Source organism: Homo sapiens, chromosome 10, assembly GCF_000001405.40.
Source record: "Homo sapiens chromosome 10, GRCh38.p14 Primary Assembly".
NCBI classification, from domain to species: domain Eukaryota; kingdom Metazoa; phylum Chordata; class Mammalia; order Primates; family Hominidae; genus Homo; species Homo sapiens.
The window spans coordinates 54,320,505-54,335,432 of record NC_000010.11 but is presented as its reverse complement, the minus strand read 5'-3'; the positions used below and the strand labels follow the sequence as shown (position 1 = coordinate 54,335,432).

Below are 14,928 nucleotides of genomic sequence, written 5' to 3'. Positions count from 1 at the left end.
CCAAACCATATCAATTGTAGAAAGGAAGATCCTGTGATGCTTTGACATCTTTCTGAGAACACAGAGTATGCGACCACTTTGTCACTCAGGCATGGCCACCTGGTTTTGTTGGTTTTGTTTTAACTTACTTCAGTTAGTCATAGGGAGTCCATTTTGTCTGTCAGCCAGGGACATGTTTTAACAGTATGAAACAGAAAAAATGATTAGAGTGTTGGGACTTTCTCTTAGGAGCAAAGTTAATGTTGCCTGCTCAAATCCCAGTCCCTCTTGGGTGGACAAAAATTGCATAGCCTTACTTAGTCCTCCACTTTTTACTTTAGGAAATTAGATTAGAGGAGACACACAAACAATGACAATAACATAGAATTTTCAGCAGCTGATGGCACAGTAGCCTGAGCTTAATCAGAGACAAGCTTAAGGCTGTCTAAAGATTGATAAGGGCAAAGTTGATGCTGCTTATTGGAACTAAAACACAGACTCACAGTTATATTCAATGTGAACAAATGGGGGAAACCCAAAGAGAGAAGAGAGAGGTACAGAAAAAGACACAAAGATAAGGGAAGATACTTCAAAAAAAAGTGTCAAAGAACAAGAGAATTTACAGAGATAAAGAGAAAATCGTAATTATCTACATTTCCGCCACTTCTCAATTACAGGCCCATTGAGGCACTTTTGTACTAAGTCTCTGTCTTTAGGTCACCAGAAAATATATATACACGTGTGTGTGTGTGTGTGTGTGTGTGTGTGTGTTCTTTAGAAATTATCTTCTTTTGAACTGAATTTCTAGTCATCACAGCTGAAAAGAGAATATTACAAACAATGCTTACAACATAGGTGTGAAAGGCTGGAGTCTTTCCCTCTTTCCTAAAAATGATGAATGACCAAATCTATCAGCTGAGAAGAAATAGTGCTAATAACCCCATATTCCATTTCTAGAGCATCTTTAACTGTAGGATTCAACACCTCCTTTCAGAGAGCTGCCGTTTTATCTAAACTGGTGCAAACCCATATTAGTAAAGGGGATTCTGGGGGGATGGAATCATCTTGGGAAACACAGAGTTGCTAGAGCCTCAACATTCCTTCTCTCTCCATTATTGAATGTGAATGTGTGTGGCGTGGATGTTACAGCTGTCTCCTACCCTGCTTCCCATATCTGTGATAGTGATAAATTGCTTAAACTGCCTTATGCCCTTATTTTACTAAATGGAGAATTGTCCCTTATTTGACAGTTGTTGTCACTGAACTGTCAGAAAGTAGTGAGTGGACCTTTCTTAATGGAGGCCAGGTGTTTGGGGCGTGTGGGTATTAAATCATTTAACCATAATTGGATTTTTCTCATTAATACAGTGCAGGTAGTCAGCACTTAAATTCTTATCACCCAAAAAAGCCAATGTTAGTTTGTATTTTAAAGAGAATATCCACGACTATCAGAAAGGGGGCAATGTCCTGGCTTTAGAAATGTAAGGTTGCTTAAGTAAATGGGCATTGCTCTGTTCCCAAACTTTTCTGCCTCATTGGTGGAACAAATCTCTAAGAATGAAAGAAGAGAAAAATAAATAGCAAGGACAGAGAGTGCAGTCACTCTTAGACTTACGTAGTACAGTGGTTTCTCAAAAGTAAAACCTGAATCATCTGCATCAGGATCACCTGGTAGGTTTGTTAAAAATGCCGATTCCCAAGAATTTCGGGAATTTTGGGTAATAGATGCTAGGAATCTACAGTCTTAATGATACATGCCTATGATTCTTGTGCATTCTAAACTTTAAGAATGTTCTAAGTATTGTTTTGTTTTTTTCATGGCTTTATCATGTATTTATTTATTAAAAAATCTACTTTTTTCCCTTGCTTAATTTAGCTTTTTTTTTTTTAAACTTTTTAGGTAAACACTTCAGAAATATCATTAAAGCAAGACTTTTACTTAGGGTTGATCTAATCCAGTATTCTTTTTACTAGAGGAAAAAGAAGACTATCATAAAGATACCAAAGATATCTATATTTTGCTTCTAATTTTCTTGATTATTATTCTACATTTTAGAGACAGAATGAATACTCAATAATTGCTTAATTAATAAATTAAATTTAATACAGTGGCTTTCAATATGCAACATTTCAGAAGCACCATTGATGATAAAGTATATCCTATTCTTATATTTTATAGAATACAAGTGCTAACAAAATGAAAATCTAGGCCAGGGATGGTGGCTCACATCTTTAATCCCAGAACTTTGGGAGGCAAGGTGGGCATACCCTTGAGGTCAGGAGTTCGAGACCAGACTGGCCAACATGTTAAAACCCCATCTCTACTAAAAGTAAAAAATAAAAATTAGCCAGATGTGGTGGCACATGCCTGTAGTCCTATCTACTCAGAGGCTGAGGCAGGAGAATCGCTTGAACCCAGGAGGCAGAGGTTGCAGTGAGCTGAGATTGCACCACTGCACTCAAGCCTGGATGACAGAGCAAGACTGCATCCATCTCAATAAATAAATAAATAAATACATACATATAAAAAGTAAAATTAAAATCTAAGAATCTATAAAATCTCTAAAGGATAGATTTAAGATGATAAGAATTCAGTGCAATTGAAAGTGCTCTGAAGATCAATAAAGTCACTAATAACTATTATTTTTAATAATTCTACAAACGTCCAATGAAAACTGTCAACAACAAAAAAAGTATTGCAAAGATTCATTAAGTTGCTTAGCTAGACATTTAAGGATAGGTTATTTCTGCATCACAGACTGAGACCCTTGAGGAATCTGTCAAGCAAAACAGAAGATCCCAAATAAGTGTTTTTTGGAAAAAATAATGTGAGATCACATCAAAGACTTAAGTCTAAATTACATTTAAGAGGTTTCACTGAGTAAAGTTTGCAAAGATTAGTACACAGAGAAATAAGTGATGGGATATTTAAGCAAGAGAAAAATAAGAGCAAATATCAGGTGTGAAGAGCCATGGCCTGTTTGGAGAAGAGAGAGGCCTACAGTGTAAACACATAGAGACAGGAATAATCATGTATCAAAGTGCTTTCAGCTGCAGAAAATTTACTATATATATATTATATATATAATATAGATTATATTATATTATATATAATAATATATAATATAGATTATATTATATTATATATAATAATATGTAATATAGATTATATTATATTATATATAATAATATATAATATAGATTATATATATATTATATATATGTAAAAAACTAAATTAAAGATGATTTAACCAAAAAGGTAATTTATTATCTATCATAATAAGTTTTTCAGAGATGGGGTAATATCAAGATTTGCTCAGCAACTCAAAGACAACACAGATCCGGGCTCTTTTTATTTTATACTCTGCTATCACTAGCATGTTAGCTATTTCTCCGTAATTAATTTTATCAATAGTCCCCAAATGGCTGCTGAAGTTCTAAATTTTATATCCTGACAGAAACTTCTATAACCTGAAAAGGGATTTTTAGCTTCTCTCTATCTTTGCAATTAAGAGAAATTTTTTCATTACTCAAAATGGAATCACATGTACATTTGCAAAATACTTCCTGGTAAAAGAGAATGGAATTACTGTTTTTAAGCTAGACTATTCAAGACTCATCTCATTTAGAGACATAGCCTCCTCTGAGGCACAATGTCACCAGATATGTGAGCTAATTTGGGGTTCTGAGTCCAGAGATGTGGTAGTTTTGTGGTAAGACCACAGTATCTTCCATATTTATGCTAGAAACCAATATATATTTCTATATTATTGAGTCACTAAAATGTAATAACCTCATAACAACACATTAGGATAAGTTTAACAGTGTAAACAGCAATTATTAACTAAGGTTTTGCCCATATTCAACTTACATGTTTAGATTCAATCATTTTCACACTCCTGTGTCATAATGCCAGCCCCACTCATAGGTATAAGCAAAGTTGAATAGGCAAAAAATTAGGGAAAATGTCAAATGTCTGTTTTTAATTGTGTTGTTCATTTTCATTTTCTGTATTTATATTTTAAATTGTTACTTTTAAATGACTGCATCCAAGAACGATTTGCAAGGCCCATTACATGAGGAGCACAGAATGAATCATTTAAAAATATATATTAATTCTGCAAAATGTACAGTGTGTGTGTCTTTATGCATCCCCGAGAGAAAGAGAGATAGAGAGACAAAGAAAGAAAGAAAGGAGACAGATCACAGCTCTAGACATGGAAGGCTAAACTACACACATTTCATTGATTGAGCCTGAGCTGAGAGATTTGAATCAGCTTTTTTTTTTTCATTGAGTTTAACTTCTTATGTGACTCTTAGGAATACACTTACACTAAGTTGAGGGTGTGAACACTCTCTCTCTCTTCCTCTCTCTCTCTGTTTCTCTCTCACATACACAGTTTTTTTCTTCTTCCACACTTCCCCTTCCCTTTCTCTTCTCCTTCCCCTTGCCTTTTCCTCTCATTTTTCTTTCCCTCTCTTTCCTTCCTTTTGCAGCAATCTAATGCAGATTCAAACTAAATATTTCACAAAAAAATCACAAGCACAAATACACAAGGCAACTGAACAACCACAAGACAATTTCAGTGAACAAAATAACACTGAGTTATTGAGCCTACTAGAAACAATTTTATCATTCTTTAAAATGGCACTAAAATACAAAAGTGACATAAGGTCTTCTTAAGAATAAGAGATTTATCTTATAAATTATACTCCCTTAAGGTGTGAATACAGTTACACTGAGGGCTGCTTATACCAGAGCACTAGTGTTGCCCTTATGACTTCCATGTTACCAGGAAAAAACTCAGTCCTAGACAGGGCAGAGAACTTAACTAATGAGCAGAAGTTGTGGAACCTAAAAGAAAAAAATGATATATAACCTGGATTTTTTTTTCCACAATAATGAACTGATTCAAGTTCACGCAGTCATGCTCTGCATAATGACATTTTGGTCAATGATATATCACATAGCAAATGGTGGTCTCATAAAATTATAATGTTGTATTTCTACTATACCTTTTCTATGTTTAGATTACATTTATAGAGAAAATACTGACCATTGTGTTACAATTGCCTATAGCATTCAGTACAGTGACATGCTGTACAGGTTTGTAGCCTAGGAGCCATAGGCTATATCACTTGTCCTAGTATGTAGTAGGCTGTACCATTTTAGGTTTGTGAATCTACACTCTATAATAGTCACACAATGACAAAAATCACCTAACAACACATTTCTCGGAATGTACCTCATCACTAAGTGACTCGTAACTGTATTTTTTTTTTTGTATTTAATGCCAGATAATACTTAAAAATACTTAAAATACAGAATGGATATCAATGTTGACAATTGATACTATGTAGAAATAACAGATTTCAGTGTTTGAATGCTTTGGTGTTAAAGAACACAGTGAAAAGATAATGTGGTAACAGGGAAGTTTTTCAGATACCTGGACTTTGATTTAGAACTATTCCAAGACTGTTGATGAATAATACTAGTAATATATTAAAAACTATGACAAGAAACAAATTTTCTGGTTATTATTACCAAAGGACTCTGGGGAAACCCATTGATCAAAATTAAATGTTTGGAAGTATGATAACAATATTGACTCTGAAGCTTATAGTCATTCTATTTTCAGATGATAAGCATGTCATCTCTAACTTCCAAGAGGATTAATCCAAAATATTGAGTTATTAATTCATCTTACATTCAAATAATCTGAAGTCTGTATCTTTAATATTTGCAGACATCCAATGACACCTTTGAAATTCCCCTAATGTTGACTGGAAATATAGTGTTAAGGAAGAGGCTCAACTATGAAGATAAGACTCGCTACTTTGTCATAATCCAAGCTAATGTGAGTATTCAATTTCTTTTAAATTTCTTCTGTGAATTTATGAAGTAAAAAACTCATCCAAAATGTATCAGATACTCTTGGAGAGCTCTGTGCCACTCACTTCTTCATCAGGGCACTCCTGCCCTTGGTGTTTATATATAATACTCTTATAGATGGAGAAAGGGATAGAATAGGTTGTTTTTATTCACTGTATTCTTTGACCTCTAAATTATTCATATGTATTATCCATTATCCAACCTTTTTAGACTATACTGAAATATTTTTCAAAGTAGGATCCTGCAAATTAACAGCAGCAGAATCACCTTGGGTGTGTATTAAATATACATATTTCTGGACCCTACCTCAGATGTTCTGAATAAAAATCTCAGATGATGGAAGTGGAATATCTGCATTTTTAATTAGCTCTTCAGGGAATTCTAAGGTACACTAAAGGCAAAGAATCATTGCCTAATTGGTCGTGTTCTTCCTCATGGCTATCATTTATTGAGTAATTGTTCACTAGATATCAGCTAATATTCCCATAACTGAAGTTTATGCTAATGTATGTAGATAACAATAACAGGACATCCAAACATATGCTTGTAAAACACAGACATGGTTTATATACTTATAAAACATAGATATCCTTACATGCTTATATAACATAGACATGCTTATATGCTTATAAAACATAGACATTTATTATAGTTATTATTAGTGGAAGTTTAATAAAATTTCTGGAATTATGCAGCTCAATGTTTGGTTTGACAGTTCAATTATATCACCAGGGACTTAGGTTCCTTCCATCCTTATACTTCCCTCTTCTCTGGAATGTGGTTATTTTCCCAATGCCTTATCAGCTGGGAGGTATTTGTGTACCATGGCCATAAGCATCACAACTGCATTTCAAGTCTGAATGCAACAGGCAGAAAGGGTAGCAAAACTAGGATTTCTTTTACGTTTATTGATTCTTCCTTCTTTTATCTGGGAAGATACTCTCTTCAGAGTTTTCTCCCATCCAACATCTCCTTCTAGACTTGTATCACCTGTGTCAGCATAATAGGAACGAAGGTTGAGGAAGTCCATATGTGTCAAAGGGATATGCGGTATTCACTTCTGAATTATACTATGTATAGTTCATATCCTGAGACTGGGCACACTGATGACCTGAAAACATTTTTCTTTTCTTAGCAAGATGAATGGGAGTACCCCTTGAGAAAAAAGCTAGAAGGGGAGGTCACATAAAAAGTCCCATATTAAGTGACAAGCTTACGTTTTTGAAATAACCGTTAAGAAATGAGGCATAAAGATATAAAAAGTATGGAGAAATCTTGAATGCATACTTATAAGCAAAATAAACCATTAAGAAAAGGCTACATACTGGATGATTCCAATATATAACATTCTGGTAAAGGCAAAGCTGGGGAAATAGTATAAAGATCAGTGGATGTCAGGGATATGGTGGTAAAGGCAGGTAGAAAGGGATTAATAGAAGGATCATGAAATATTTTTAGGTCAGTGAAAATACTCTGGATGATACCATGAAGTTGGATAGATATCATTATACATTTGTCCATTCCCATAGAATGTACAACACCAACGGTGATCTTTAATGTAAAGGATGAACTTTGGTGATTATCATTGTTCAATGTAGATTCATCAATTGTAACCAATGTACAACTTTGATTAGGGATGTTGTAAGTGGGGAGGATGTGCACGTGTGGAGACATGGTGTATATACCTTCCTCTCAATTTTTCTATAAACCTAAAACTGCTCTAAATTAATAGCCTTTTCTTTTTTAAAGCAGCTATACTCTGAAGCCATCCTGTGCCTTTAATGACTCCTAAGCGTTGTAATCTTGCTCATACAGCAGAACAGATAGATAGCAGGGGATGCTAAAAGGAAAATAACCTCAATTAGCTGTTCTGAAGAAGTTAACATGAAAAAATGTGCCACAAACTTGTCATTTTCTTGCCTTTCTTAGAGATATATCACCTGACACAGAATGTGTATGTGTATAGATAGATACCTAGATAGATATATAATTAGGGATATGTAGATAGAAATATGTAGATAGACATATAGATCTAATTTTTGAAGCTAAGTTTGGAAGCTTTTATTTATATTTCTTCAGATTTTAAAAATGATTTATTATTTTATATATTATAATTATATATTATAAGATGTTATATGTATTATGTGTGTGTCTGTATGTGTGTATATATTTTAATGTCATGTAACATAGAGCAGAGTGAAAACTGTAGATATGGGGAAAAGTAAAATGTATTAGGGAGGGCCACTCAGAGTTTTTCAAAAACACAGAAAATTCTTTTTTCTATTTAACTGAAGATGTGAAGAAAAGGTAGAATGTCTTTTTTATGAAGTCAGATTGCTGTGGAAGGTATTTGTAAGCTAGTTTTTTTATCATGCAATTAAAAAGATATAATTTTTTAATAGAAATGCAAGGTAAAAGATTCTGAATTGGTGTCTAGTTTTAAAATATTTATAAAGACATCTGGAACAACTTCTATCCAACATGATGGACTACTCATCACTGAGGTAGTGACAAGTTTTTAGCATTTCAGGGATAAAGTTATAAAACAGAAGTACATATGTGAATCATCAAAAGGAAGGAATAGCATTAGGAAGAAGTCGAATGAACATTTGAATTTAAATGCAATAACAGTTTTTGTTATAAACTTAAGTCATACAGTACACAATGAAATGTTAAATATAGAAAGTTATAACATTTTAAGCATTTTTAAAAGTTTTAAGAACAAATAATTTTAATAGCTACATAATGTAAGATAATAATAATGGATCACCATTGATTCAACAATACTCCGTTTTTGTTTATTTGATCATTTGTTTTTGGCACCAAATTGATATCTACCCTCATGATGTTCAAGAGAGGCAGTGAGTGTAGTGAATTATGTCACCTGAGTTCAAATCTCAGTTCAGCCATTTACTGGCTGTGTGATTTGGGGCATGCTTTGTATGTTAATTTCCTAACCAGTAAAATGGGTATATTAATAAAACATACCACATTGTTCTGGTTACAATTAGCTAGTTAGCAAACAAAAAAGTACTTAGACTAATGCTTGAAATATATTGAGACATTATTACAGTATTATATAAATCACTAAAATACTGGTACTTTACTGTTTAAAAATCAGTAATTAAAAATGGAATTGCTTTGAGAAAATTATATGTATGCATATATATGTGTATATGTGTATGTGTATTTGTACATATATATTCACATACTTTTTAATCTTAGTAGATAATGCTATATTATTTTTCAAAGTGTTGTGACATATCACACTTCCACAAATGATAAAGAAGGATGCTCATTTTCACAACATTTTAAATCTGTAACTTAAAACTGTGGGTTGTTGGAGGTGGAAAGTCAGCTGAGACTTGCTTGAGGGCCAATTGTGGGTTTCTCTTTCAAACTCTGAGTTCAGTGATCTCACATTTGCAGCCATGCTGGGAGCATTTACAGTATGGAAAGTGCCAGTGCTACAAATCAGGGCTACTTATCTGATAGCTGGTTGTTAATCATTAACTGTTTTGTATATACCAATAGTAACATAAGTCTAACATATCTTTGTTTGTATATGATAATGATATCCATATATCTAAAATGTACCTCCATTTTTTTTACATTTATCTTGTTTGTTTGTTTGCTTATTTATTTATTTATTTTGAGACAGTCTTGCTCTGTCACCCAGGCTGAAGTACAGTGGTGCGATCTCAGCTCACTGCAACCTCCGCCTACGGGGTTTAAGTGATTCTCATGCCTCAGCCTCCCAACTAGCTGGGACCACAAACGTACCACCACACCTGGATTTTCTTTTTGGGAGGGGAGGAGAGTATTGCTATGTTGCCCAGGCTAGAGTGCAGTGGCATGATCTCAGCTTACTGCAACCTCAGCCTCCCATGTTCAAGCTATTCTCGTGCCTCAGCCTCCTGAGTAGCTGGGATTACAGATGCGTGCAACCATACCCAGCTAATTTTTGGATGTGTAGTAGAAACGAGGTTTCAGCATGTTGGTCAGGCTGGTCTCAAACTCATGGCCTCAAGCAATTCACTCACCTCAGCCTCCCAAAGTGTTGGGATTACACGCATGAGCCACTGCACCTGGCAGTGGTTTTTTATATTGTGTTGGTGGTATGCACAATGTAAGTCATGTACATTAAGCACCAATATATTATCTTGAAGTCATAAGGAGAATTAAGATATGAGCAATCAATTTTGACTTTAAAGTATATGGCCTCTAAAAGAATAATTACAGGTATCATGACAAATTATTGAACATTACCCAGCTTTGACCTGGTTTTGCTTATGTTAAAAATATTTGATTTTCGAAGAGAATCCTTCAAATTACATGTAGTTTGGAGGTTTCTTTTTATCCGTGTTTACATGTTATGATCCGTAATTAAGGTAATTGAGTTTTGACTGACCCATATTAGAAAACCCTGTCACATATTTTTTTGAGAATATTTGCAATATTGTCACCCATGCTATTGACTTCAAATATAAATACATAATGAAGGAATGATTAATTCCAGACAAAAATTTTGGGGGTAGATCTAGAAAGATCAAATGGGTTTTCTTTTTGTTGAAATTTACTACATATTATTATAACCTCAACTTTGATATGTTACCCTAATTCACATAGAATCAAAGTAATCTCTTTACATATCATTTTTCTTCAAAGCAAACTCTCTTTTATATTATTGTTATCCTGAGTGAAATATATAAGAACACTTTTGTAATCAAGATTTCTTAATTACCAGAAAGAAAAAAGTTTATATTTACTTATTTTATAATTTATTTATTTATTTTGAGATGGGGTTTTGCTCTGTCACCCAGGCTGTAGTGCAGGGGGGTGATCTCGGTTCACTGCAGCCTTCGCCTCTCGTGTTCATGATTCTCCTAACTCAGCCTCCCGAGTAGTTGGTATTACAGGCATGTGCCACCACTCCCAGCTAATTTTTTGTATTTTTAGTAGAAACGGAGTTTCACTGTGCTGGACAGGCTGGTCTGAAACCATTAACAACTTCAAGTGATCAGCCCACCTTGGCCTTCCAATGTTCTGGGATTACAGGCATGAACCACTGTGCCCGGCCTAAATTTAATTTAGAATCATGGCAAGAATAATTTATAATTTCTAAATTATTTTATGAATAGCAAGGGTGTTGTATATTTCTCAAATAGCAAAATCTAGAGAAGGGATGCTAGCTATCTTTCCTAACAAGATATAATTCCTAAAATTATAATATTACTATTTCTTTATTAGCTCAATTTTTTATCTTTATGGACAGAAATATTCAAATAAAATGTGTAAGCATTGCAAACATATGTGTTTGTATAGGTAAAATTAATTTTCTATATTTTATATTTCAACCTTGTAAACAACTTTTCAGAAATAACCTCTACCCTGACCTTCCCTCACTTCTGCTTCCTACTGATGTGTGGAATTAGTGTTAATTGTAACCCCATTGTTTTAACTCTGCAAGTTTCTTGGGCATTTTCTGAGGAGTGAGAGTGAAATGGGAGGATAGCAGGTGATGGTTTATGGGACCTAATATTTACTGAGTGTTTGGCTACTAAAGATACATGAGCATTTGGGGCTATAAATGATAATATAATTCTGTCTACTGGTTTGCATAAAAAATAAGAAATATTAGGCAAATATCTCAAACAAAAAATGTTTACAAGACAATAGAATACCCAACTTCCTCTGGTTAATGTTCATAGAAGCATTATTTTTTTCCTCAACTTTTATTTTAAGCACAGGGAGTACATATGTAGGTTTGTTGCATGGGTGTATTGCACTCAGGTGGTCAGCATAGTACTCAATGGGTAGTTTTTTGATCCATTCTCTCTCCTTGCCCCAGCAGTTCACAGTCTACTGTTCCCAGGTTTATTTCCCTGGGCACTTGGTGTTTAGCTCCCATTGAAAAACTGATATTATGTAGTATTTAGTTTTCTGTTGCTGCATTAATTCACTTAGGATTATGGCCTCCAGCTTCATCCATGTTGCTTCAAAGGACATGATTTCATTCTTTTCTATGGCTTTGTAGTATTCCGTGGTGTATATGCACCACATTTTCTTTATGCAATCCACTATTGATGGGCACCTAGGTTGATTCCATGTTTTTTGCTATTGTGAATAGCATGGCAATTAATGTAGACATGCATGTGTCTTTTTGGTAGAATGCACTATTTTTCTTTGTGTATATACCCAGTAATGGGGTTGGTAGGTTGAATGGTAGCTTGGTTTTAAATTCTTTGAGAAATCTTCAAACTGCTTTCCACAGTGTCTGAAATAATTTACATACCCACCAACAGCATATAACCATTTCCTTTTCTCTGCAGCCTCACCAGTATATGTAATTTTTTGACTTTTTAATAATAGCCATTCTAACTGGTATGAGATGATATCTCATTATGGTTTTGATTTGCATTTCCCTGATGATAAATGCTGATGAGCATGTTTTCATATATTTGTTGGCTGCATGTATGTCTTATTTTGAGAAGTGTCTGTTCATGTCCCTTGCCCCTATTTTAATGGGATTGTTTGTCTTTTGCTTCTTAAATTGTTTAAGTTCCTTATAGATTCTGAATATTAGACCTTTGTCAGATGCATAGTTTGCATAGCTTTTCTCCCATTCTTTCCATTTTCTGTTTACTGTATTGACAGTTTATTTTAGTGTGCCGAAGCTCTTTAGTTTAGGTGCTACTTGTCAGTTTTTGTTTTTGTTGCAATTGCTTTTCAGGATATCATCATTACGAAATCCTTGCTAAAGCCAATGTCAAGAAGAGTTTTAATAGGTTTTCCTCTAGGATTTTTATAGCTTGAGGTATTACATTTAAATCTTTAATTCATCTTGAGTCAATTTTTGTATGTCTGGTAGAATTCAGCTGTGTGTCTATCTGGTCCAGTGCTTTTTTTGGTTGGTAAGTTTCTTATTACTAATTTAATATCACAGCTTAATATTCATCTGTTCAGGGTTTCAATAGTTTCCTGATTCGATCTTGGAACATTATGTGTTTCCAGAAACATATCACTTTACTCTAGATTTTCTAGCTTGAGGTTGAGGAGACACAATTCTGTTCAGAGTACTGGTTGAACTTGTTTAACTTTTTAAAAGATATTCTTGCTTGCCAACTAGAATCACAGTTTCCTAACTTAATGTAATATCCTGTTATTTTTAAATAATTGAAGTTAAATATATATTCTTATTTTTTAAAAAAGAAGAGAAATGCAGATGAAAATGGGAAAGGGAAGAAAGGAGATCTTCTTTGTGGATTTTAATATATATTAGATTATCACATAACGTAAATGAAAACATAATTAAATTATATGGAATGTTTATAGAAATAGTTATTTTTTATTTTTTACCACTCACAATTTAGAATGTTATTTCATTTACTCAGAAGAGCCTTGAGCAGTAGTATATTACTATAAAGATCAAAAGTGTAGGTTGTTTTGTTTTTTCTGTTTTTGTTGTTTTTGTTTTGATTTTTATCTCAATTGCTGAAGGATTATTTTTTAAATGGATATTTTAAGATCAAATCTGATTCCAAATTGGGAGAACATCATGAATTAGCATTACCATTATGGGCTCACAAGTTATGAGTGTGCATGAGACATATTTTTATATATTTTCCTATGTGATATGTGTTGGTGATAAAATGTGGGAGAATTCCCACGTGTGGAAACTGTTAGTAGATTTTGTTGCTACATCTCTGCTCACAATCATTTTGCCAGGATTATTTTTATTTCCCACTTAAAAATACAAATTTTAGAGCTCAACACTTTGTAAGCAATATCTTTCCCCAATATGAGAAAAAACTCCTATTATGTATTTTGGTATACACTTCCTGTAAATACACTATCTTTAACACACCAGTATCTATTCTATGGAGTAGTGACAATGACCCAAAGAAGCAGATAATAGTGAGAGATTTGATGCTGACAGACTGAAAGAAAACATAACATTAAAAAATTCAAATTTGTTTATTATAGTGATTTGATGATTACATATAAAGAAGGCTGAGTGACATGGAAGGGTAGAAATATTGCCTCTGGCATTTATATGCATGTATGTGTATATATGCATATATATGTGTGTTTATATCTGCATGCTACATTCATGTATCACATAAAATATTATAAATATTTAATATTTATTATCTATTTACTATTTTTATAAATTAAATTTAGATTAATTCAATCTTTTAAAACTTCATAAGCAATCATTATTTTAAATGGTGGGTTAAAGCCAGGCACATACCTATAGTCCTAGCTACTCAGAAGGCTGAGGTGCGAGGATTACTTGAGCCCAGGATTTTGAAGTCAGTATAGGCAATGTAGTGAGATTCTCATTTCTAAAATAAATAAATAAATAAATAAATATTTTATAAATAAAAAAATTTTCAAATATTAACTCCAGTGCCACAAGTAAATTTACAAATACATATTAAATATGTCATTTTATTAACTTATTTGTTATTGAGAAAAATGTCAAATGTAAAATCATTAATAAATGTAACAAAAGTTTACCACCCCTATTAAAGAAGCTTCCAGTTTATATATATATATTTAGAAATTTAAAGATTTGTTTTAGTTCTTAAACTTTAATATAACTTTAGAAATATGGAAGATGAGATTACTTAATGATTTAAAACACTGGATGATGCAACACAAAGGGAAATATATGTGAAAATATAACCTACTAATCTTTATGAGGTCACATTATCTTAACATTAGTAATTTTCAGTACTAAATGACTCTCTTAATAATGGGATGAGGAAACATGTCCTCATCATTTTTTTAAGACCGTCAGAAGCAGTGTATTGGAATCTGCCCCTTGGAAGCTACTCAGGATATGCTGACTGAACAAATCATTACATCATTTGTCTATTAATTCATATATTATAGACATAGCTATAACCCAATTAAATAAAAGATCAGTATTAAAAAAGTGGCAAGTTTGATGAGCTATTTTTTTTTAAAATTTAAAATATACACATACGCTTATTTTAAATTAATATTTTTCTACATGTTCAAAATTCATACATCTTAAGAATAATTTA

At 33.0% G+C, this 14,928-nt stretch overlaps 1 protein-coding gene across 20 annotated transcripts in view; it reads left to right on the top strand.

Moving 5' to 3' along the window:
- PCDH15 (protocadherin related 15) overlaps nucleotides 1-14,928 on the top strand; it is a 1,825,172-nt gene that overhangs the window by 1,292,510 nt on the left and 517,734 nt on the right. For 19 of the 20 annotated variants that reach the window (XM_047425663.1, NM_001354420.2, NM_001354429.2 and 16 more), the window contains one exon: nucleotides 5,727-5,837. The exons of the other annotated variant lie outside the window; for it this stretch is intronic. In XM_047425663.1, the coding sequence (XP_047281619.1) occupies nucleotides 5,727-5,837 (111 nt within the window). The remainder of the gene's footprint in view (nucleotides 1-5,726; nucleotides 5,838-14,928) is intronic. 20 annotated transcript variants of the gene reach the window in all.